Below are 24,167 nucleotides of genomic sequence, written 5' to 3'. Positions count from 1 at the left end.
TTTGTGGAATTGTATAAGAGGACAAATCGAAGATTAGTTTGAGAAGGAAATTATGAGTTAGGGAGTGGCAAAAAACAAAAATTTTTTTAATAAGAAAGATTTATAGAGACCTAACAGAGATCACAACAAAATAAAATGAATCCTATTCGAATCTCATTTCAAGTAAACCAATTATTTGAAATAATCAAAGAAGTTTGATTATAAGCTGGGTATTAGAAGATATCAAAGAATTATTTTACTAAGTGATTAAAGGCATTATGGTTATCTAAAAAAAAAAGGGCCCACTATTTAGATAATGTGTTCATTTTGCATATTGAAGTACACAGGAGCAAAATGAGCATACAAATACTTCGGCAAAGAAAAAGTATAGATAGAAATATGGCTACATATTGATAGCTCTTGTACCTAGTTGCTGGGTGTATGAGGCGTTCTTTGTACTTTGTAGTATGTTTCAGATTTTTAATAACTGAGAATGAAACTGGGTTACCCAAAGAGCTTTCCTTTGAGGGCGGCGCTGGCTGTGTGACCTTTGACAGGTCTTCACACTTCTAAACCTTTCCTCATGTATGAAATAAGGGTAAGCATAACACCTACCTTCACCAGCAAAATCTAACCTATGAGCTATACATGCAGTGGGGGCTGCTCAGAGGAGATCAGTAGGACTGAGTGGACACTGTGGACCCACCTTATTTTTCCCTAGGTTACAGTGGATATGCTGAAGTGTTACAGCCCTTAATTAGACAACTTCTCTTCTCAGATTGCTGATTACTGAGGGGAAAACAGAAGATACCAAAAGTCCATGACTGTTTTGTTTGCTTAAACACTCTTTAGTGTTCTGTGGATTTCAATGATTTCCCCTTTTTAATCTACCTTTCTATTATTTTATGCCTTTGCCTTTTTACAATATGTACTTCTAAAGTCTGGAGTAATACAAATTTATCCCAGCAAGTTATCTCCCAAACGGTAAAACTCCTACTTAAAGGGGTGTATGAAGTAATCATTCTGTTAATTCAGACTAAAAACCCACATTCACCGGTTAACACCCAATTAATGAGGCAAAAGTGCTTTCTTGGCCTGAATCATGCCCTTCAATTTGAACATAAAAACAACCTTATTCTAATTTTCCGCTGATAAACCTTTATTGTCAACATAATAAATGGGGGATAGAAAAAAGCAATGTATGATGTTTTAGTCATCTATGCCCCAAAATACAGATGCGGCAGAATAAAAATGCATTGCCTTAAACACAAATAATGAATGAATCATTATAAAAACCTTTAAACAAAATCAAGGAATTTGCACAGGAAAAAAACAGTGTATATACCCAGAGAAAAGCATTTAGCTAAAAAATAATTATACGTAAATTAAAAAAATAAAGTGCACCATCCATACTCATTATGCCAACAAAAATTACAAAAACTATAAAGTTCCATATTGGCGGATTGTGTGGAAACATATTCAAACATTGCATTTGGCATTTTAAATTAGTACAGGGTTTTAGGAGATCAATTTGGCACTGCACAAGTCACTAAAAATGATCATACTCTTTGATGATGCATCCAGCACTCTGGGCTTGAAGACATTCCAATGAAATAACAAAAATAAAAACACCACCACTCAGATGGAAAAAATGTTTGTACTGGGTAAGCATAGGCACAGAGGAGAAAAAGTACTCGTGCTATATTTTACAGATAAAAAAGGCAAATCCCTCATAGATGTGACTTGAGAAGGCTATTGCACTCAGGATAAAACACAGGAGAACCAGGCAGATACATGAAAAGGACTTACAAAGTAATAAAGAATGCACAATAATAGCAACTTGGTTGAGGCCACGGAGCTAATGAGCATTTGGTGATAGTGAATTTTGCGACTTATATTTAAGCTGGTCTTGATTTTGGTGCCTATTTTTTGCTACCTGATATTGGAATTATGCACACATTTGGGACGGAGTGGGAAATAAGACGATTTCTGAACCTCAGATTCTTACCAAGTTTCAGGCAATTTTGGCCTTCACAGCTCTGAATCATTACCCTCATTTCAGTCACTCAGAAAAGAACTGGAGAGTGCTATGAGGAACCTAATAGCACTGGTTCAGTCTGGGCAGCTGACTCCTCTTAATGAACTGGAACCTCCATCAAGTGGGAAGCTCCTGGCAGCACAAGGGAATGTCCCCTCTGACACCATTTTAGAGCCCATCACTTTTACCCCTCAGCCCTCAATGAGAGGGGGTGGGCAATGGAAGATTCCATCACCTCAGAAAACATTTCCTTGGTGTCACTTACGACTTTTCTAGGGATGAGAGAAATGGTTCTTGATACTACATAAGATGGTGAGAACACTCCCCCTTAGCCTACGTTGGATTCTTTTTGGAGAGATAAATTTGGGCTTTCTGCCCTACCATTAAGGGTGAGAGTGGATCACAGTCTGTGTTTCTTGTCATTTTCAGGCCTCAAATGTGGGACTTACTGTTGGGCACATGGAGTCACTGGACAGCCAAGTGACAAGCAAGGAAGGCTGCAGGTGCCATGGCTCCTGACTTCAACAGCCCTACAACACACACTGGTCTAGTTTCTCATCATCAAGGAAACTGATTCTTGGGCTCCTACAGTGTTTTCTCCTTTAGATCCATATTTACATTCTCCACCTTTGTTGAAAAACTTCAGATACAGGTCTGCAAATAACAGGCTTAGGAATGAACTTGGCTACAGGAGCTATAGAAAAAGAGATCAATAAAGCCAACAGCGTGCAATTTGGTGGCCACAGAACTTCCCAGAAGAGAAAGACAAAGGAAAAAAAAGGCCCAACATGTTAACAAGTGAATTTTACTTGGCATCTAAAGGTAAAGTACCTAAATTACTTAAATCTTTACAGTAAGTTTAAATTTATAGTTTATAAGCTATTCTGAAATCTGCCCTGTTTAACAATCTGTAACGTCAAGAAAACATTTTAAAGTATCTCTCACAATCAAACCCATCTACAACCTTGTATAAATCAAAATTTTGCTACCATATCAAAATGTTCCACTGGGGCTGTATAAGATTGCCCACATCCTCATTACATGCAACACTAATTACTACCAGCAGATTCCGAATTTTCTGCACATTAGAGGCTTTTAGAGGAGCTATAAAAAATTTCAGGCACCATTAATTTAAATTTGTATTGAAATTTCCTTTTGACAGATGGCCAAAAATTACTTATTATTTAGAGTACCAGAGCTGCCTGTTTGCACATTAGAAGAGGAAAGGGAAAAATTAAAAGCAAGAAGGAAATTTATGTCACGTTCATTACCTGTTAAATGTTAAGGAGCATTATCTTGCATAAATAAATTATTTCATACAAGCTCGACTCCAGCTGCAGGCAACTGGCACGCTCTGGCTGATAAAAACCATCTAGAGTCACACAGCAGACAATCATAAAAAGCCCCTCTTAACCAGGAACCACTTATGGGAGGACGATCGATGGAACAAGCAACTACAACTGCTTCTCTGAGCATCACAGAACACATTCAGAAAAATAAGCAAACTATCTCACCTTGTAGAACTATAGGACAGTCCCAGACCTGACGTAATACAACTTCAAATTTGAGAATGGTACCCAACCAAAACATCTATTTATAGATGCCATCCCATAATAAATCAAGGCAAAATCATCAGCCTTTCTTGTTTTTCCCTGGCTTCTAGCTATACAGATACTCATTTCCAGGCTCACCCTGAATGATTATTGATGATTTCAAAACACACCCTTACTCTTGCATGAGGGAATAAGAAAATGTAATTGACACAAAAGTGTACACTGAAGTATAAATATTTTCACAGTCTTCTGGGAGTGGAGGCTTTTGTTTAGTTCACTGGACTGCCTAAAGGTATATATTTATAATAAGAAGGCAGGGAATGTTTATATTATGACCTCAGAATAACTGGACAGGCTTTCAAAGGCTGGTATCAGTTAATCCTAGCCACTGCATTTACTTACTACTTCCTAAGTACACATGTGTGAAAAACACTTAATATACTTTAAGAATGCTTTTTTAGTCTAAGTACTGATATGCATATGATACAACAAAATACACAACTGCAAATGCATAATTAAATAATTCAATGTGTTCAGTTCTAATTGTAAATGTTGACATTTACATGGGAGTGCAGATGCCCTTTCAAATTACAAAGATTCTTGAAGGGTAAAACAGATAGGCTCAAGTTTTATTTTCCATTACTTAAGGGCTCTGAAAAAAAAATTCCTTTAATTGTAAAACGACAAGGAGTAAAAAGGCATTCAAAGTGCTAGCACAGTGGTTCTGGGAGAAAATTTTAGCATTCATATACATAGCTCCATTAAAAACTGCAAGATATAACTACCTATACTCCAAAACATTCAACTGTTGTAAGATATAAAGAAATAGACAGCATTTGTACCTCGGCCAATGGTTGAGAACTGTCCTTTCCTTCTAACCAATAAGTAACACAATGGCATATGTAATACAATTACGCATAATACAATGGTGTACATATGTATGTATGTATGTATGTATGTATGTATTTTTGAGACAGAGTCTCACTCTGTCGCCAGGGTGGAGTGCAGTGGCATGATCTCGGCTCACTGCAACCTCTGCCTCCCAGATTCAAGCGATTCTCCTGCCTCAGACTCCTGAGTAGCTGGGGCTACAGGCGCAAGCCACTATGCCCAGCTAATGTTTGTATTTTTAATAGAGACGGGGTTTCGCCATGTTGGCCAGGATGGTCTCGATCTCTTGACCTCACGATCCGCCCACCTCGGCCTCCCAATATGCTGGGATTACAGGCATGAACCACCAAGCCCGGCCTACAATGGTGTATTTATATTGTGTCTGGTTCATAAGTGATCACATTAATTTTCATGCCTTACTCATTTCCTGCCATGGCAGCCTATTTTTCTTGTTTGCTTACTAAATAACTTCAGGTATCCTTAGCACATCCCATTCTGGAGGTATAGAAGCATACCCAAATCATTAGACCTTAAATACTTTTCCTCTTTCCCTACAACTTGTCTATAAAGAGATACAAAAGGCAGATAAGACAGATGCAAAACCTAAAGAGAATTAACTTGTTATACCAGATACCAAAATGTTAATTTGAAAGAAAAGTTGGTGAAAAAAATTCACTTAAATTTAAAAGAGAAAATTATTTCTAGTGGTAAAAAAAAAAAAAAATGCACCATTCACTTAAACAAATATTTTTGTAGGTTGGAGCTGTTTCCTCAAATATGAAACTAATATGTATCTCTTTACAAACCAATTTATTTAATTCATTTCATTGTTATCTTACAGCCAAAGCCTAAGTGAAGAAAAGCAGTTATTTTTTTTTCACATGGCAAATAATAAAATGAGCAATGCAAGCCAGATCTTGCAATTCAACCTGGGTCAACAAATCTGATTCTGATAGAGAAATGGGACCTTTAAAAAAAAAAAAAAAAAATCAACCACACACCTGAAAGTAATTTTAAAAATGCAGTTAACCACTACTAACCAATGAAATCATTCTCTAAATCTCAAAGAATTCTTTACTAGATTCATTCAAATCATTTACAGCCCTTTTAAGCCATTCCTTAGTCTGTAAATTTTGAGTCCTACCTTGATGGAGTCTCTGTCTATATGCAAAACAGCAGCAACACAAGCAGATAAAGTGGTGGGAAGAAGAAAAGAAAAGTACTAGTTAGTTTACATAAAATCATACTGATTTATCAAACTTGATCTCTGCTAAATAATAAATTACACAGATGTCAACTGTGCTGTAAAATTAATTATTAATACTGCACAACCAAATTCATAAAGTACCAATCTACCTTTGACACAATTTCAGAAGAACCAAAGCTGGACATTCTTATTATCTGTGCTCCTTATAGACTTTTTCAAAGTATTTACAATCATGCATCAACTCTGTACCATAGCATTAAGATAACTGGATGACAAATTACAGTGTTTTTAATATCAGAGATGGATATTTATGCATATGTGATAAAAATCACTGACTTAATATTATAATTCACAGTAAGGATGCTGAAACAGGGGTATGAGCTTTTAATTATGAAACACACCCTTCAAGCCAATGAACCACCCTTGTGCTAAGTAAATTCCCAAAAAGGAATGCTGGGAGAGACTTTTTCATCTGCATTTCTGTCATCAACTAATAAAAATTATCAGTAAGCACCAAAGAAAAACAACAGTCACATCAAAATGTTTCTGCACCATCATCTACCTTAGTGGAGGAAGGAAATCAACCTAGAAGGAGCACAACTGGCCTTTAAATCAATTAATTGCATAAACAATTATGTTGGTCTTCTAGGAAGAAATTAGTTAATTTCATGCTTCTAAACAGACTGGGTGAGAGAGAGAGTTAAACCAACAGATTTCATTAATTTGGTCTGTACCTTCTTAATTACTAAGACTACTGAAATTGTTTTCTTACCTGTGAGATTTTTACTGCTCTATATAGGCTCATTTGTTTATAAATAATAATTGATTTGGTCAAATATCAAGTGAGCATTTATCAGCAAGACATTCCCCAAAATAAATTCAGTCAAAGTTAACTATTAATGCAACATGCTACTTCAAACAGAGCATCATGGGATTTCATTACTGATTTAGACCTGGGGAACATAGAAGGTAGCAAGAAATCAAAGGCAATAACCAGAAATAGGCCCCTCTGCCTCTAGGGAGTATGTTAGCTCTTGCCAACCACTAGAATATCATTTGGCAATTGACTACTTGCAGTAATTAATTTACCTTCCAGTGGAAATCCTTTGTTTAGTCACTGGTAAAACTAAATTCAGAGAGAATAAACAATAGCATCCAGAACCTACCCTCAGCAGCAAGTAGGTCATCTCAGATTGGCATTCCAAGAGAGTTACTCACCTCTTTGGTGATCATTGTCATGGTGCTTCTTCTCATCTTTAATTGGAAGATGGGACTGACCTCCTAGAGCACTGGAGAGGGCCAGAAGCCCGGCACTGCTACCGATGGGTGGAATGGCAGGGGGCTGGAGCCCTGAAGGGTGTGGAGTCAGAGGTACGGGGAGACCATGTCCATGTGATAAATGCTGGGCCTGGAGTTGTTGCTGCTGTGAAAAATTAAACACAGATATTGAATTTGCCCCCATATCCAACCCCTGCCCCAAGAGAAACAGAAAGGAGGCATAAATCGGCAGTAAAAAAGCCAACACCGGCTGGGCACGGTGGCTCACGCCTGTAATCCCAGCACTTTGGGAGGCCGAGGCAGGCGGATCACGAGGTCAGGAGATTGAGACCACCCTGGCTAACACGGTGAAATCCCGTCTCTACTAAAAATACAAAAACATTAGCCGGGTGTGGTGGCTGGTGCCTGTAGTCCCAGCTACTGGGGAGGCTGAGGCAGGAGAATGGCGTGAACCCGGGAGGTGGAGCTTGCAGTGAGCCGAGTTCGTGCCACTGCACTCCAGCCTGGGCGACAGAGCAAGACTCCATCTCAAAAAAAAAAGAAAAAGAAAAAAGCCAACACCTACGTAAGATTTACTATTAACATATATATATTTTTAAAAGGGGGAAGGAGCAAATGAGCTGTGTAGTCAATAAATGCTACCTTTCTTATACTTGGAGGTTTTGCACATGCAATATAAATAATTTAATTTTTAAGTGGTGAAAGTATATAAGTAACTTTCAATAGTTGATATGCAAACATATTTCTTTAACAAACCTCATAAAAGGCTTTTTTTATCTCAAAAAATAAAATAAGGCCTCGCTATCATACATTTCTAATCAAAACATATACGTGAGTAACTGTTAAAGCAGTTATGTTGAACAAAAAAAGCTGAAAATTGAGAAAATTAGTGTTAAACAATTCTCCCAGAACCACTGCACAGCATGCAGGGAGAGTTAATTTGAAAGAGAAAACCTGAATTAACAACCCAGAAAAGGAAACTGGTTGCAGCCACCGTTTTAAGCCCTTTAAGTGTCCTCAGCGGTACTTGAGCAAATTACTAAAGAAAATCTAATGTAGCAAGGCTTGGGTCCTCCTGTAGGCTTGCTCAATAATGCTGAAATAATTGGGCACTCTGTGCACGTTTAGTGATGCTCGAATGAAAAGCTAGAGGCCTGCCCTTGTACTCTTCTCTAGCGGCCGACTCTGTGTTGTGACAGGTTTATTTGAGTGGGACTGTGATGCATGCACCAGTAACTGCGCTGACAAGAGTTTAAAGTCATTTTTACCAGCACACTGGCAACACATAGAGAAAGCCCTCAAGAGGCTGGAATGGGTGTGCTTGACCTCAGCTGAGGCTGCGTCAAACTCTGCTACAGGAACCGCGGTGGGCAAGCCTTGCTGCCTCTTCTGAGTGGGAAGTGGGGGAGAGGAGGAGTTGGTGGTGAAGGAAGGACATTAAATGTATTACTCAATAGGAATCCCTTCAACTCAAACCCTGCTTAGCAATATTGTATGACAACAAGTATTGAGTAATTCTCAGGTTAAATTTTGTAGTGACTGAATTTTAGTTTTTGCCTTTAAAGAAATCACATTCCAGGCCTAACCTGTGATAGCCAAATAGTCCCTTCTATAATTTTCTTTCCAAGCAAAATTTCACAAAATATCTAGAGATAGGGACAGGGACAGAGAGAGAGAGAGAGAGAGAGAGAGAGAGAGAGAGATCGATCATTCCACCAAGAAAAATCTCAAAATGCTTTTATTAATACCTCAGAGAAAAAAAGTGGACCTTTTTTTCTCCTCTCCAAATTAGGTTTATTTTCTTCCACTCCCACATGTCTTCCTATGTTTGACTACAAAAGTCCAAGTACAGTATTAATTAGTTCTTTTCTCTTACTGACTTGTACCTATGTTCTGGCTACATGCACTTAAAATATAGTCAATAGAATAAAGTATGAACACTTTGAAAAGCAAGTTTACAAGCAGAAAATGGAAAATGGGAGCCACATCCAGATACTCCACCAACCAAGCCCCACCCACGCTCCAAGTCCTGCTGAAGGTTTTCTTAACTGGGTAGTTTTGAGATAAGGTGATTCTCTTCATTTAAGTGGCCAAAATCATGTTCATAATTCTTTACATACTGTTATTCAGTGGGGATCAAAAAGTATGCACACAAAATTATATTTCCTAACAGTGCAGAAAATAACGTCTATGAAGAAAACAAAATAGGGACTTGAAGTAAATATATGGCAAATTTGTTTCAAAAACAGAAATAGCTCCAATTCTTTCTCCTCTAAATTCCCCTAATACTCCTTGTGTATGTTTTGGACACACAGCCACTTTCTACCTCAGATCAGAGGTCAATGAGCAGGCATTTATTAAGATCCTGCATGCTCATCTTTCTTACCTCCCTTCTTAGAATCTAAGCTCTATGAGTCTACATCTCACAAATCCTAGCTAACTGCAGACCCTGAAATATTCACACATTATCTTGATAGTTTTAAAAATGTATCTATTACATTAGACCAAAAAAAAACCCAAGCCTGGCGCAGTGGCTCACGCCTGTAATCCCAACACTTTGGGAAGTTGAGGCGGTCAGATCACTTGAGCCCAGGAGTTTGAGACCAGCCTGGGCAACATGGCAAAATCCTGTGTCTACTAAAAACACAAAAATTAGCTAGGCATGGTGGCGCACATCTGTAGTCCCAGCTACTCAGGAGGCTGAGGTGGGAGAATCACCTGAGCCAGGGAGGTCATGGCTGCAGTGAGCCATGATTGTGCTACTGCATCCCAGCCTGTGTGACAGAGTGAAACCCTGTCTCAAAAAAAAAACAAAAAACAAAAAACAAAAAAACAACAACAACAACAACAAAAAGCCCTCAGCCAAAGCCCAATACCTTTAATGATCCAGGTGTGTCACTTTTATTCTTTTTCTCCTACAGGATAAAAAATAAGCACCGACTCATCGTTCCATTGGACCAGAACTTTTCAAAGGCAGAAATCATAGTTATACATGACATTCACAGTAAGGCTTCCTGAGGTCCTTGTTTGGTTTTATTCTATCTCAGAACAGTTCTAAAATGAGCTTCTTCTCTTCCTCTTGTATGCTAATCTTAGAGAAGGGTCCTTTTCCTTTCAAAGGCCAGCCTCTCCACCTGCACATCATGTTTTCTTCCATTCTTTTTCACTGCTCCTTCAACTCTCCAACTCTCCTTCATCCTCAGTTGTTTCATCACTGATTTTGTCCAACATTTTGTTTAAGATGAACTGCCCATCTAAAGTCAAAAGAACTTGAGGCAGTACTTTTCAGGGGAACAGAAATCCCACTATATTTTAATCACTTTTTGTGTCCTCCACTGCCCCCTACACAGTGTCTTGCACAAAACTGGCACTTGATGTTTGTTAAATTTAACTACAATACCCTTCTTTTGCCCTCTTCAACTACTGCCTTGTTGTGTGTGTGTGTGTGTGTGTGTGTGTGTGTATGTATGTATGTCCGTCCCTGTCTTCGCACACCCAAACTTCTTCAAACACTGAGGTAAATCTGCTGCCTCCACTTCAACAAGCCCCTCCTCTACACACACACACTTACTCCTTAGACCTGATCATCTGGACTGCAGGCCCACCATTCTTATAAAACCGAGGACCACTCACACGTGACTGAGCATTTCTCAGTTTTCTTTTTCTGATGTATCTGCAGTCATAGACAGTATATCCTCCACCTGCTTCAAGAACACTGAAATCATCACGATGGCCAGCCTTTCTTTGGCTCTCTGAATGCAGCAGTTGTATATCCTTCTTGATTTTTTCTCCTTTAGCTCCTTTGCTCCTCTCTGGCCTCACCCATCTTTATCCACCTTTGACCCACAATTGTCTTCCAAACTTTGACACCCCCATTCTAACTTTTTGTCAGACAATTGTACTTGGAAGTCCAGCATTACCTGGAAATGAAAATGTGTGACACAAAACCCAACCTCTACTGGCTCAAGTTACTGGTCATCAACAATTTGTTATCCTTCTGTGCTATCCTATATTGATAATTGCCAAGTCCTGAAGATTCTCAAATAATCCCTTGTTTCTACTTGTCACGATACTCACCAGACTCATCACCTCACATGCTGATTATTTTAAGTCTCCATCAGCTTATTTTAGTTACAATGAACCCTTACTGCTTTCTCCACCTGTGGTTTTTTTCCCTAAATTCATATCCTTCTGCACCTTTTAGAACAACCTCCACATTACTTATCTAAGTTGTACTCACCTATCTCAGCTCAGCTTATGTTTCACCTGTTCCCTACAGCCTTCTCCAAGCAATCTAAGTGTCCATCATCTTATAGGGCTCCCTGTATTATTCACTGGCATATACTGCCTCATAAAGGCATTGTTATTCATCTTTTTACAGATAAGAAGACCCTGACTTGCCAGAGACTGTGAGACTTTGGAGAGAAGAGACCAGTCTCAGGCCTCTTAGTACCCCTGGCACCTAGCTCAGTTCCCTAAACATAGCGAGAACTCAATACAAAACTCTGATACTACTGAAAATAAAATACTCCTTTGATAGTTACTCTCTGGTTCCAAAAGCAACAGATCCCTTTTATTTAAAAACAAAAGTTCCAATTTCTTAGCATTCAAGACTTTCCATAAACTAGCATCAGCCTAACTCCACCCTACTGTGCAACACCATCCAGGGAACTCTCTGCCCGCAACACTAGTCTGTTTAGGGAGACATCTAAACTCCTAGGGCTCAGCTTTACTACTAATCAACACACACCCACAGAGTACTCTCTCATCTGTCTCTATATGTATAAATTCTACCCATCCTTCCAAGCTAAACTCCTGCCTACTTTCTCGGTGGAGACATCCCTCATCACCCCGGCTCAAAGTAATCTCCACCACTGTCTCTCAATTCTGACACCACTTAAGCTCAATACCATTAAGATACTTAACAATCCAAGACAAAAAAAGACTTTTTAAATACATATATATGTGCTACGTGTGTGTGTGCACAAGTCTGTGTATGCCATACCTCTTAATTAGAGCTATTTAAAAAATATTTCCCATAGTGCCTAGATATTTCTCACACTTAGTAGGTATGCAAACAGATTACCAACTAATATCAGCATGATTTTATACACTGATGAATTCTGACTCTATTTTCTTCCAGATGTTTCAAGCTTTTGAATTTAAAATTAAACTAGAAGAAATAAAAAAGCTGCTTGTACTATAAGCCTATTCTGGACATCTTAAGCAGCAATAATCTAAAATGAGTAAAACTGATATTTTTAGTGATCGAACATACAGAACTTGGTGCCCTCATATGAAAAGTGCATTTATTTTTATTGTCGGTCTTTTAATTTTTAAATTCCTAATTATGAATTATAAATGGGCTTAAATATAACTACCACTAAACTTTCCCTGAACTAATTAATGAACTCAAACTATGGTCATATGTCTCTATATATTCAAAGCTTTTAATGAGTTAAGCTTCTACTACATATAGAGTTCCCATATATTCTTTACCTACCTTTCACTAATGTTAACATTTTATATAACCATAAAATTTATCAAAACTAAGAAATTAACATCAGTTCATTGCTATTCACCAAACTAGAGACTTTATGCAGATTTCTGTAGTTGTTCCACTAATGTCATTTTTCTGTCCCAGAATCCAAACCAGCATACAACGTTGCATTTAGAGAAGCTTTTTCATTTGTTATTATACCAAAATTATAAAGTCCTTTCAAAGATTTTATGAATGGTAACAACCAACCTACAGGCATACTGCTTAATAGTATATGCCTTGATCTTAAAGAAGAATAAATGAGAGGCAGCTACCATAAATTCATGTTTATCAGTCACCGTTTTATACATATACAAAATATCAAAACAGAAAAATTATACTCAGGCATCCTGTAGAAGGGAGCAATTTTTATCAAGTGTTTTAAAAATATTAAACTATAAGATAAAATGAAATTAAGTCACCAAAAGGCATATGACAGAGATATTAAAATATTACAGTAGGCTTTAAAATGTATACATTAATAAATGAGACCCCTTTCTGTACTTAGTGGTCATTTTTAAGCTTCTTTGCAAATTTTCACCTTAGGAACTAGCCTAGAACTAGAGTAGCAGGTATTTTATAACTGATAAGGGTTAGTCAATAAAACATATTAGAAAACATCTTCTTTAAATAAAAGTAGTAAGTCACCAATGGCTAAGTAGAACTTCACCTTTTTCTCTGCTAAAATAAATGGCCTTAATTTATCAAATGTCAAGAATTCATTAAAAATATATTTCTATTAAGTCATCTTATCAACAGAGGAACTCAGGATTCCCTGGAAAAGGAGTAAGGTTTCTCTGGATATTAGTCAAGTAGCTGAGAGTACCATAATCTAATGGATTGCTCTACAGTAAAGTGAAAGCTTGCTGATGTTTCCCAACAGGGTTAAGTCAAAACTGTCCTCTGCCCTCTGCCCCATCTGGGTTAATTACAGAGCAATTAACCTGCAAAGATATTCTACTTTATCTTACAGTCCCACTAAGAAACATAAAACCCCTTGCTTTTTAAAGACCAAAAGGAAGGGAAATGTACATTAAGAGTACACAGTATAACACAGATTTGTTACGGATGTAATTTAAGATACATTATAAACTAGCAGGTTAAAAAAAATATATATATATATAGGCTTTAGAAGAAAAACAAAACAAAGATCAAGCCAAAGAATTAAAGAGGGCATAGACTAGAGTATTAAAATAAACGTACATACATAACCACCACTGAGGAAGACCTATTGAGGAAAATATGTATCATGGCAAAATTCTTCTCACTATCCTTCCTAGGCCTTTATTATCTTTGGGTGCCTTACTTAAAATTAATAATAAATAAAAACCTCTCTTATCTCAAACCACAATACAAAATAAACTACTTCTTCCTATTTCCTTGATGGGCCACTCAAGAAAATAAACATTAAAATGGAGTGAACTTTAAACTTAAGCAAGTAAGTACTCCATTAAGATAATTAATTTAATTCTGAAAAATAGCAATGATGTCTGAAAATACACAGCCATGAAGTGGCAGACACAGCCTCAATGCTGTTAATAGGTCTTTTCTGGATTCTCTGTAACAAAGATTTCCCTGCAGTTTCAAGTTTGGCACAAAGGGCAGAAAAGGACCACTGGAGAATAGAATTCACAAGAAATGTCTTTTGAAATGTTGTCTTTCTGTCAGCAAAAAGAGGAGTTCTTTGTAATCAAAGGTCCCCAACTGCTTGATGACAAGGGACTGACAAGTCATTGACCAAGCAGGAGCCAGCAAGGACAGAGCTGCAGTCACTGACATCCCTAGGAATTTTGGGCATTTCCAATTGAAGGCCAGGCAGCAGTTTCCTTGTTCACCCCCACTCCAACTCTACTACGCTATCAACAGCAGAATAATTCTCAAAAAACACGCACCTTCCTTAGAAACAACAACATCTCAGTAGCAATGAGCACACTTTGTGCTCATATTTTGGTTTCTAAAAAAAGTGCAAGTGCAAGGTGAACCTGCTATATCTTGTGCCAGAAATCAAGAAAGCTATCTAGACTAACGGATATTGTGTCAAAAGGACAATGAGCCAAATTGAAGGGATCCCCACTGGCAAAACTTGAGACAATCTCAGCATCATTAAGAATAATGACTTTATAGGTTATAACACATTTTCAAAAAACATTTTCAGGAATGGAGTTTTTGGTACCCCAAGAAAATAGGTGAAGATGTAGGGCACTCTGGGGCCAAGGACTAGAGACAGATAATGACTCTCAGGCCAGTGCCAGCTCCTAAGTTCAAGGCTGGCTGTCTCCCAAGCCCACAACCATACTACTCATCCACCAGGAGCTAGCCAAGCTGTGAGCTGCTCGCTCTGAGCACGTGTGCCTCAATCCAACCAGGAGACACTGTTCCATTCTAGGAGAGAAGTAAGGGAAGACTCAGCAGACCTTGAAAGGAGCCAAAAAGGAAGAGGCAACAGACTCTGAAATAGAGCAGCAAGCACAGGGAAGGGCCCAGGACTGGGCTGGTAGCCATACTCCTTGGCTTGTGAAGACACTATTTACTATGGACAGTTGTTCTGCTGGCCTCGCTCCTGTCTGTAAGTCGGGCTAGGTGTGAGAAAGCACAGTCTGGCTGACATTTGGGAAGCATCACAATGAAGTGGCCTCAGAGTCACTGGAATCCTTATTACCTGTTTGAACAAGTCATTTAACATTTCTGATGCTCTGTTTCTTCATGTAAAAAGCGAGAACAGTTAGTTACAAAATCTACCTCCCAAGGTTGCTGGAAGAATTGTATGACATGATCCATATAAAACCCTTAGCACAGCGTATTAGTCCGTTCTCATGCTGCTAATATAGACATACCCAAGACTGGGTAATTTATAAAGGAAAGAGGTTTGATTGACTCACAGTTAAGCACGGCTGGGGAGGCCTCAGGAAGCTTAAAATCATGGTGGAAGGGGAAGCAAACATGCCCTTCTTCACGTGGCAGCAGGAAGCAGAAGCATGAGAGCCGAGTGAAGGGGGAAGCCCCTCATAAAACCATCAGATCTTGTGAGAACTTAGTATCACAAGAATAGCATGGGGAAAATTGCCCCTGATTAAATTACCTCCCACGAGATCCCTCCCACCACATATGGGGATTGTAGGAACTATAATTCAAGATGAGATTTGGGTGGGGACACAGCCAAACCATATCACACAGTGTTTGGCAAATAATAAACACTCAATAAATGGTGACTGCTAGTATTAAGGAAAGGTACCAGAAGCCCACATTTTCATATGCACAGAGAGTGAGGGAGCGAGGAGAGGAGAAAACAGGAAAAGCTCTTCTTTACAGAATATTAATTTGAAAGGAAAGAAATAACTTAAAATTTACTGTTTTACCATGTCAAATGTATTAACTAATGCAAGACAGACTCAACCATCGATATTACAACCACTGGGTAAAAAGTTGCAGGGAAACAGGTTATTCATAGTGCCCAGGTATCACCCCATGGATCACCTAGCTTCACCAGTAATATGATACAACTGGAAATACACATCACCTAGTTAGTATTCCTACTAAAAACACTTAACCGAAATCTAAACTTGAGAAAACAATCAGAAACAAACAGACAAATGTAGACTGTGGAAGATTCCAGAAAACTGGCCTGGAATCTTCAAAATGCCAATATCTTAAAAAGCAAAATGCTTTCGGACACTGTGATTTAAAGAAGAGTAAAAAGACATGACAGCAAAGACAATTTTTGAATTGAATCCTGGATTGAATAAAAAAGTGCTATTAAGGACATTTTGTGGACAATTGGAGAAATATGATTATGAGCTGTCACACTGGTATAGGAATGTGTTAATGGTATTATGCTTATACAGGAAGATGTCCTTGTTCATAGAAGAAGCACACTGAAATATTAGGGGGTGAAACAGCATGATTGCCTTTTACTTTCAATTAGTTCAGCACATTCCAAAAAGTGCACATGTATTTGTATGAGTATATAAACAGAGACAGAAAACAAAAGTGACGATACGTTAACCGGTAAATCTAGGTGACGAGTATACAGTGTTTGCTCTACTATTCATTCAATTTCTCTGTAGTTGTAGAGGCTGGGAAAATAAGATGTGCCCTTCTTACCTTACTTTAACAAATATCTCTAGAAAAAGCTAAAGGTTAAGTGAATATATGGAAAGAAGCAAGAATAAAGAGAACAAAGGAAGAAACTTTTCAAACTAAGCTTATCTGTAACTCATTCCTGATGACTTACAACATGAGATTTACTATAGGGAGAAGACATGCATTTAGAGCAATCCAAGTAAGATTATCACTGAAAGGATAAGCTTCTCAAGCTAAACAAACCACAGATCTCTGTAGTCCTCCAAATCTCTGGACTGGTCTTAAGGGGATGGCAAGTAACAACCAAAGCAAGCAAATCATGAGATCTTTGCCAGCGGCTCCATTGTCCTAACTTGTAGTTTAACTCATGAAGTAATAATGGCAAGAAAAGAAGGAGAAAACTACAAAAACCCTGATTTATTAACTTTCCCATTAGTGATCCCGTTAGCGTATTTTATGAATTGGCCAAAAGTTTATTAGTAATTGTACTTCTAAGCAAATTAATAATGGAAATACAATTTCCCAGAAGCTTGTTTAAGCTACTTAAGAAAAATTTTTAGTCTTTAACATCTTACTGATACCAATGGTTCTATTTTGTAAGTTTTAGTCTTTAAAGTCACCAAGCTAAGGGAATGTACTCAGAAAAGCTTTCTTTAGTTACTTCAGAGTACTTTAAAAAAAAGTAAAGCTGAGCCAAGCAGAGTGGCATATATGTGCCTGTAGTCCCAGCTACTCGGGAGGCTGAGGCAGGAGGATCACTTGAGCCCAGGCATTTGAGGCTGTGGTGCCCTATGATTATACCTATGAATAGCCACTATATTCCAATCTGGGCAACACAGTCAGACACCATCTCTAATTTCTTCTTCTTTTTTTTCTTTTTTTTTTAAGTAAAGCAGCATTTAAAAAGCCTATCTGCTTTAGGTTGTTCAGTAATCCTGCATTTGATCTTAGAACGTCAGAGGTGGAATGAACCTCAGATGTCATCTAGGAGACTTGCTTTCCAAAATTTTGACCACAATTTCTGTGTGTGTGTCTATGTGCATATGTGTGTGTGTCTACATAGAATATACGTGTAAATTAACAAAGTTTACCAAACACTACTATGTGCAACATACGCTAATATTTTCTATAGTCTTCTATACCCTTTTTTAATTAAAAAAAAAAAAAGTCCACTATGCCCACTAAATAGACTTCACTGTACACTCATGAGTCTCTTGAGCTGCAATTTGAAGAACGCTAAACCAGGCCAACACTCACATGTGTGATCTCCTAGGTGAGAGAGTCAGTGGGAGATGGTATTAGCATCAAGAAATGGAGCACAAGCCCCTACCATTTAGTCCAGTGATGTACCTGCTGCCCAATTAGGACCCTTTCTCAACTAGGGTGGAAGGGGTAAGCAATCATTCATTCATAAAAATAAATGGAGGCAGCTCCTCTGGGGAAATAACCTTTGAACTGAGACCTGCAGGATGCAAATGACAGCACACTGCAGACAGCTGGGAGAATCAGAAGCAAGAGAAAAGCAGTTGAGAGGACCCAGAACAAGAGAGACGCTTGCTGTGACCAGTGAAGTAAAAGGAAGCCTAGTGAGAATCCAGTGAGCAATGGGGAAGTCGGGTAGAATACAAGTATATTCTGGGAATCAGGCTGTGCACACTAAGGGTTTTTGACTTTTATTTAAGAATAATTAGAGCTCTAGGCTACGGTGGGTTTTGGGGTTTGGTTTTGTTTTTTAAGCTGAACTTTTAGTTGCTCTTTAACTGGTATAAATCTGGATCATAATCACTTTTTGGTTACATGTGTTGCAAATAACTTCTCCTGGTTTCTGGCTTGTCTTCTCATTTTCTTTAAAGCATCTTTTGATGAACAGATGTTTTTCATTCCAAGTGAGTATTAAATACTATCAATCTTTTCTCATGGGTTGGGCTTTCTGTGACCCTTTTAAGAAATCCTACTCCAAGAAAAAAAAAAAAGATTCTTCCTGTTTTTTTTTTTTAAGTTTTAAAGTTCTTTTTATGATTCTAGGATTGACTTCTGCATATGGTGACATGTATGTATCCAATTCTTTTCCACAAGAATAACCAGGTAGCCCCACAGTAATATTTACTAGCTTCCATCTTTCTCCCCACTGATCTGCTTGTCCATTCTGACATATACAAGTGAATCTATTTCTTAGTATTTTATTCTATTTCACTGGCCTATATAAAGAAGACCACCAAGTATTTTAAGCTTGAGTGTGTAAACCAGCTTAAACTGGCCTTTATAAAGACTAGTAAGTATTTTAAGCTAGAATATTAAAAAATAATAATTTTCTGAATCTGAGAGTGGCAAGAATGAAGGGCAGGAGACCGGCTAGTAGGTAATGCAGGGGGTTCAAACAAGAAAATAATGAATGATAACTTCAGTTAGGGTTGTGGCAGTACAGGTTGCAAAGAACAGAAGGAGCTGAGTGTTACTTTGAAGACAGAACTAGAAAGACCTGGTTATGGAAGACGGCAGAGTGAGACTAAGTGGAGGAATTCAGGACACCCTGGAAATTTGGAACATAAGTAACTAGGTAGATAGTTGTACCATTTACTCAGATGGGGCAGAAGAGAGAAGGAATGGCCATATGAATAGAATTTTGTCTTATAGCTTTTTTCAGATTAGAAACTTATATGTTAAATGAAGATAGGCGGAGTGAAAAAAAAAATTAAAAGCCACACATAATCCTACCAGCCAAAGAAAACTAGTAATATCATGGTGGGCCTATCCAGTATTTTTTGAATTCATGTTAGCATTTTTAACAAAAGTAACTCAAACTATCTTGTGGTTTAACCTGTTTCTTCGTTTCCTGTTTACCATGTATTAAGAACATTTTTCCACATCCTTAATACACCTTGACTACATCATTTCTAACAGCTACATGGTATGCCATTGTATTCATATGGCCATTCCTTCTCTCTTCTGCCCCATCTGAGTAAATGGTACAACTATCTACCTAGTTACTTATGTTCCAAATTTCCAGGGTGTCCTGAATTCCTCCACTTAGTCTCACTCTGCCGTCTTCCATAACCAGGTCTTTCTAGTTCTGTCTTCAAAGTAACACTCAACTCCTTCTGTTCTTTGCAACCTGTACTGCCATACCTGAGTTCACTTAAGTAGTTCCCCAGTGTTGGGTGTTCAGGTTGTTCCCAGTATTTTGATATACATAAGTCATGACATTAACATAGAAATATATATGTATCTATCTATAGTCATACACCACTTAACTATAGGGATATTCTGAGAAATGAGTCTTTAGGCAATTTTATTACTGTGCAATTATAGAGTATATTTATCTAGATGGTATAACCTACTACACACATAAGCTATGCAATATGGCCTATTAATCCTAGGCTACAAACCTGAACAGCATGTTACTGCACTGAATATTGTAGGCAATTGTGTCAAAATGGTATTTGTGTATCTAAACACAGAAGAGGTATAGTAAAAATACAGTATAAAAGATAAAAAATGGTACACCTATATAAAGCACTTATCATAAATGAAACTGGCAAGACTGGAATTTGCTCTGAATGAGTCAGTGGTGAGTAAATGTGAAGGCCTAGGACATTAATGAACACCACTACAGACTTTATAATTACTCTACACTGCTACAAAAAAATTATTTAAAAAGTAATTTGCTGTGGTGTTACGACAGCTACAATGTCACTAGGCAATAAAATATTTTCAGCTCCATTATAATCTTATGGGACCATTGTCATATATGTGGTCTGTCCTTGACTGAAACATTATTATATGGCATGTAACTATATATTTGAGTTAAGATAGTTCCTCTGCAAGGTATAGAATACCCAAAAATGGCCTGAATTTTTTTTAAAGGAATTTTTATTTCTCACACTACAAGTCCAGGGATGGATAGATGACCTAACATTATCAGGGCTCTGGGTCCCTGATTCATGTGGCATCCCTCAAATCCCATCCCCTCCCATCACAAGATGGCTGCCACAGCTCCACACATTACCTCATGCCTTCACATAACCATATTAAAATGCAGAAGGGAGGATAATTCTCTCTCCATGGGTTTCTGTTAAGAAGAAAACCACATCTTTTTATATCTCGCTGACCTGGATAGGGTCACTTGCCCACAGTTCTTCTGTAAGGAAGCCTGCAAAGAGCTCCTGGAATGCTTTAGCCTTGATAGCAGAGGGTAGCCTCTGCCTGCAAGGGAGAACCAACAAACAACAAAGCCTGCCTCGACATCTATCTTTGCTCAGAGGCCATTCTGAAGCTATTAGCTGAAAGAAACCCAAGAACAACCTCTGAGCTTTCAATCCAAGTAGATCTCAACTTAAACTGTTTTTTCCTCTCAACTGTTTCTTCTCCCAGATATTAATTTGTGCAGAGCTGTGTCTACAAATTGCTTTGAGTCAACCCAGAAACACTCTAGGGAAATAAAGAAAAAAAGCAACATTACTGCCACTTTGCTTCGGGACCATAGTGGCACTGCCCTTGATGGTCACAGAAAACAATCTGAGCAAAGATAAACTCTCACCATTTTTATGAATCTACCAAGAAAAAAAAAAAAGCATGAGAATCACAAGGGTCAGACTAGCTATAGAGCTGCCTTAAAAAGGATTCAAGAATGTACCATTCTGAGTTTTTCTTAAGAGGTTGGGGTCAAAGGCACAGTTAGCTCTAACTATTTAGTCAAAACCATTTTTTTAAGTTTGCAATATTACTCTATCTCATGAAATAATTGTTATTCACAAGTCAGGCATACAAGGTTTTCTCAAGATAGAGAAATAGAAGCAGAGAAGTATAGAGCTTATCACAAAGCAATGAAGTAATTTCAAAGATAGAACTCCCCACAACATAATGGCAATCCCTGTAAGTTCTAACTTGTTTATATCTCCTGACTAGCCACTGGCCTGGTGGGGGCCCCTTTATGGTCTTCACCACCAGTCATGTCCCCTGCCTCACCTACTGCTGCCTGCAACTAGAGTACCAACAATAGTTCTTAATCAAGAAACCCTCCTACAAAAGTAAACTCCTGATTTCCAAGTTTCTGAACAACCATCCTAGAATGTGTCCCCACGCTGCTACGGGCAAATATTTTTTGTCTACATGCACCCCACATGATATTTTGCTATTTCATATCAGGATTTTGCACAATCCTATTCTACTAAGGCATGGATTCAAACTTGTTTGTGTCACAGGACCCTTTGTGAACACTCTCCTCCAAAAACTATACATACTCCTCTCCTACCAACCCCAAACACACACACACACACACAGGCAATTCTGCAAGCAATTCAGGCATTTAATTGACAGCCCAATGCCCAAGCATGAAATTCCAGAAGATCCAAGGACACTGGGTTAAAACACCTGCCTTAACAGCTGTGTTTATAACAACTTTCAGTTCTTGTTCATAAGAGTAAGATACAACAGACAGGAAGCAACAACGTATGAGTCAAGAGTATCCAACTGACCTGTGGAACTAATATAATTCAGACAATTTAGACTAACCACTTAGTATGTGGACCCAGCATACCCAGTTTCCATTTTCCTTCCAACACTGAGCTCTGGCTGGACAATCCTATCAGTGGATCTCAAGATAAAGAGATTATTGATGACAGTGTGAAAGAAAGAACAGAGTCAAGAGAACAAATAAGAGACAAGTGTAGCATAATGGTTAAATGTGTGAGTTCTGAAGTCAGCTGGAGTTTGGATCCCAGTCCTGCCACTCCTCTTTTGTGTGGCCTTCAGAAAATGACTTACCTCTTCAAAGCCCTTGGTTTCATTATTTGTAAAGCTGGAACAGTATTTCCTTCCACATGAGGTTGATGTGAAGATTAAACAAAGTAATGCATGTAAATGCTTAACACAGAGCGAATATTCAATAACATCTACTATATTTAGTTACCTTTTTCAGGAAAAGAATACAAGCCTAGGGAGGTGATAAACCTAGAAAAATAACTATGACACAAAAGGACCCCAAGTTTTAAAATAAAAATTCCATTAACGTCAAAATAAATAGGCCAGCTCCAGCCTTGCATTCTACAGATGAAAAAACCTAAATGAAATTCCTAATATCATACTATAAGTGAAACCCAGAACTGTATATTTTCTACCAGTCCATGCGCTTCCTTTTCTATCTTGGCTCAAAATTGTACGGAGAATATCCAAATGAGAAAATATCCCAGAGCATAGTATTTAACAAACATCTATGGAAAATTATTATGAACAAATTACTGCAAATTTATTGAACAAATAGTTACTGAATATTTATCATACAAATACGTATTGAAAATTATGAGATACCTATCGCTCTAGGCTTCATGGCTACAAAAGTGAATGAGATTTCACTAGCTAGTCAAGGGAAAGTGATGCATAACAAATCAATGGTAAGTGCAATGACGACAATAAAACAGGTTAATGGGACAGAGAATGAATTAGAAGCAAAGAGTAAAAAGAGTGCCAGCCAAGAAAGTCCTTCCTCAGGAAATAACATCTGAGCTGACACTCTGAAAAGAGGCATAAGGAAGACCACTCTAGGATCCAGAGGATGGGCTATCCAGAGGACAGAGAAGCTGGTGCACAAACCCTCAGTCGAGAACACACTTGGAGTGACCCAGGGACAGAAGAAAGGGGCCAAAGTGGCTTAAGGACAGCTGAATGAAGAACATAAGTGGTATGTGACAGCAGAAAGGCCAGTGAAAGAGGGGTCAGCTCATGAAGAATCTTGTAGGCCAAGGTTAGAAATTCAGACCTTTTTCTAAATAAAAGGGGCAGCCATCAGGTTTTCCTGGGTTTTTCATTTGCTTGTTTTTTAAATTTTTTAGAAATGAAATCCTGCTGTTGCCCAGGCTGGTCTTGAACTCTTGCGCTCAAGTGATCCAGTAGCCTCCCGAGTAGCGTCTCAGCTACTATATATAGTCTCATATATATAGACGACACCACCACACTCACTGTGGCTTTAAGCAGAGGACCAATAGATCCTATTTCTATTTTATAAGAAGGTCACTCTGGCTGCTGTGTGTAGAATGAAAGAAAGACAAATGCGGAAACATGGTAGCCTATCAGGAAGAGGCTGGAAGAGTCTAGCTAAAGGCATTACTTGGACCAGGAGGAGATGGAAAAATGCGCTCAACCTTGAGAGAAATGTTAGGAGGTGGAGCAGACACCATTTCTGATGAGAGAAAGTGTTTATACTGAGCTTAGACCCTTTCCCTTCATCCATCAGTCAGTCTTTAGTATACTGATGATAAAGACCTGAAGTGCTGAGGAGTACTGCAAAGGGCAAGGAAGAACAGGAAGAACAAGTGCAAAACGGAATGGAGAACATCAATAATGAAAGCTATAGTCATCAACACAGTATAGCACTAGCAAAAGAGACGGCAACAGTTGATTGGAGCAGTCAGAAATACACTCATACATATAAGGTTAATTGATTTTCAACAATGGTGCAAAGACAAATCAATGGAGAAAGGATAGCCTTTTCAACAAATAGTGCTAGAAAAACTGAATCCATGTCCTTGTGGGAAAAAAAAAAAAAAACCTCAACTTAATGCATATATCTTACCATAAACAAAAATTGAACTGAATTATAGACCTAAA

The 24,167-nt window shown here is 38.1% G+C and overlaps 1 protein-coding gene across 50 annotated transcripts in view, besides 1 other annotated feature; it reads right to left on the bottom strand.

Annotated features, from left to right (window-relative positions):
• TLE4 (TLE family member 4, transcriptional corepressor) overlaps positions 1-24,167 on the bottom strand; it is a 154,918-nt gene that overhangs the window by 67,202 nt on the left and 63,549 nt on the right. For 17 of the 50 annotated variants that reach the window (NM_001282760.2, XM_011518960.2, NM_001282748.2 and 14 more), the window contains 2 exons: positions 6,887-7,088; positions 5,606-5,622 (listed from right to left, as the gene is read on the bottom strand). In NM_001282760.2, the coding sequence (NP_001269689.1) occupies positions 5,606-5,622; positions 6,887-7,088 (219 nt within the window). Of the gene's footprint in view, positions 1-5,605; positions 5,623-6,886; positions 7,092-8,694; positions 8,779-9,822; positions 9,862-24,167 lie in introns of all 50 variants that reach the window. The other 33 variants (NR_104239.2, XM_011518959.2, XM_011518965.2 and 30 more) reach the window with 4 other exon arrangements.
• Positions 6,688-7,447: an enhancer, noted in NCBI's record as "H3K27ac-H3K4me1 hESC enhancer chr9:82267149-82267908 (GRCh37/hg19 assembly coordinates)". NCBI's record gives its function as "activates a minimal SCP1, AML or CMV promoter by ChIP-STARR-seq in primed H9 embryonic stem cells {active_cell/tissue: H9 hESC(primed)}" and the evidence as "EXISTENCE:reporter gene assay evidence [ECO:0000049][PMID:30033119]".

The sequence above is a fragment of the Homo sapiens genome, chromosome 9 (assembly GCF_000001405.40).
Source record: "Homo sapiens chromosome 9, GRCh38.p14 Primary Assembly".
Lineage (NCBI taxonomy): Eukaryota > Metazoa > Chordata > Mammalia > Primates > Hominidae > Homo > Homo sapiens.
The sequence above is the reverse complement of the archived record's forward strand: the minus strand, read 5'-3'. Positions and strand labels throughout refer to the sequence as shown.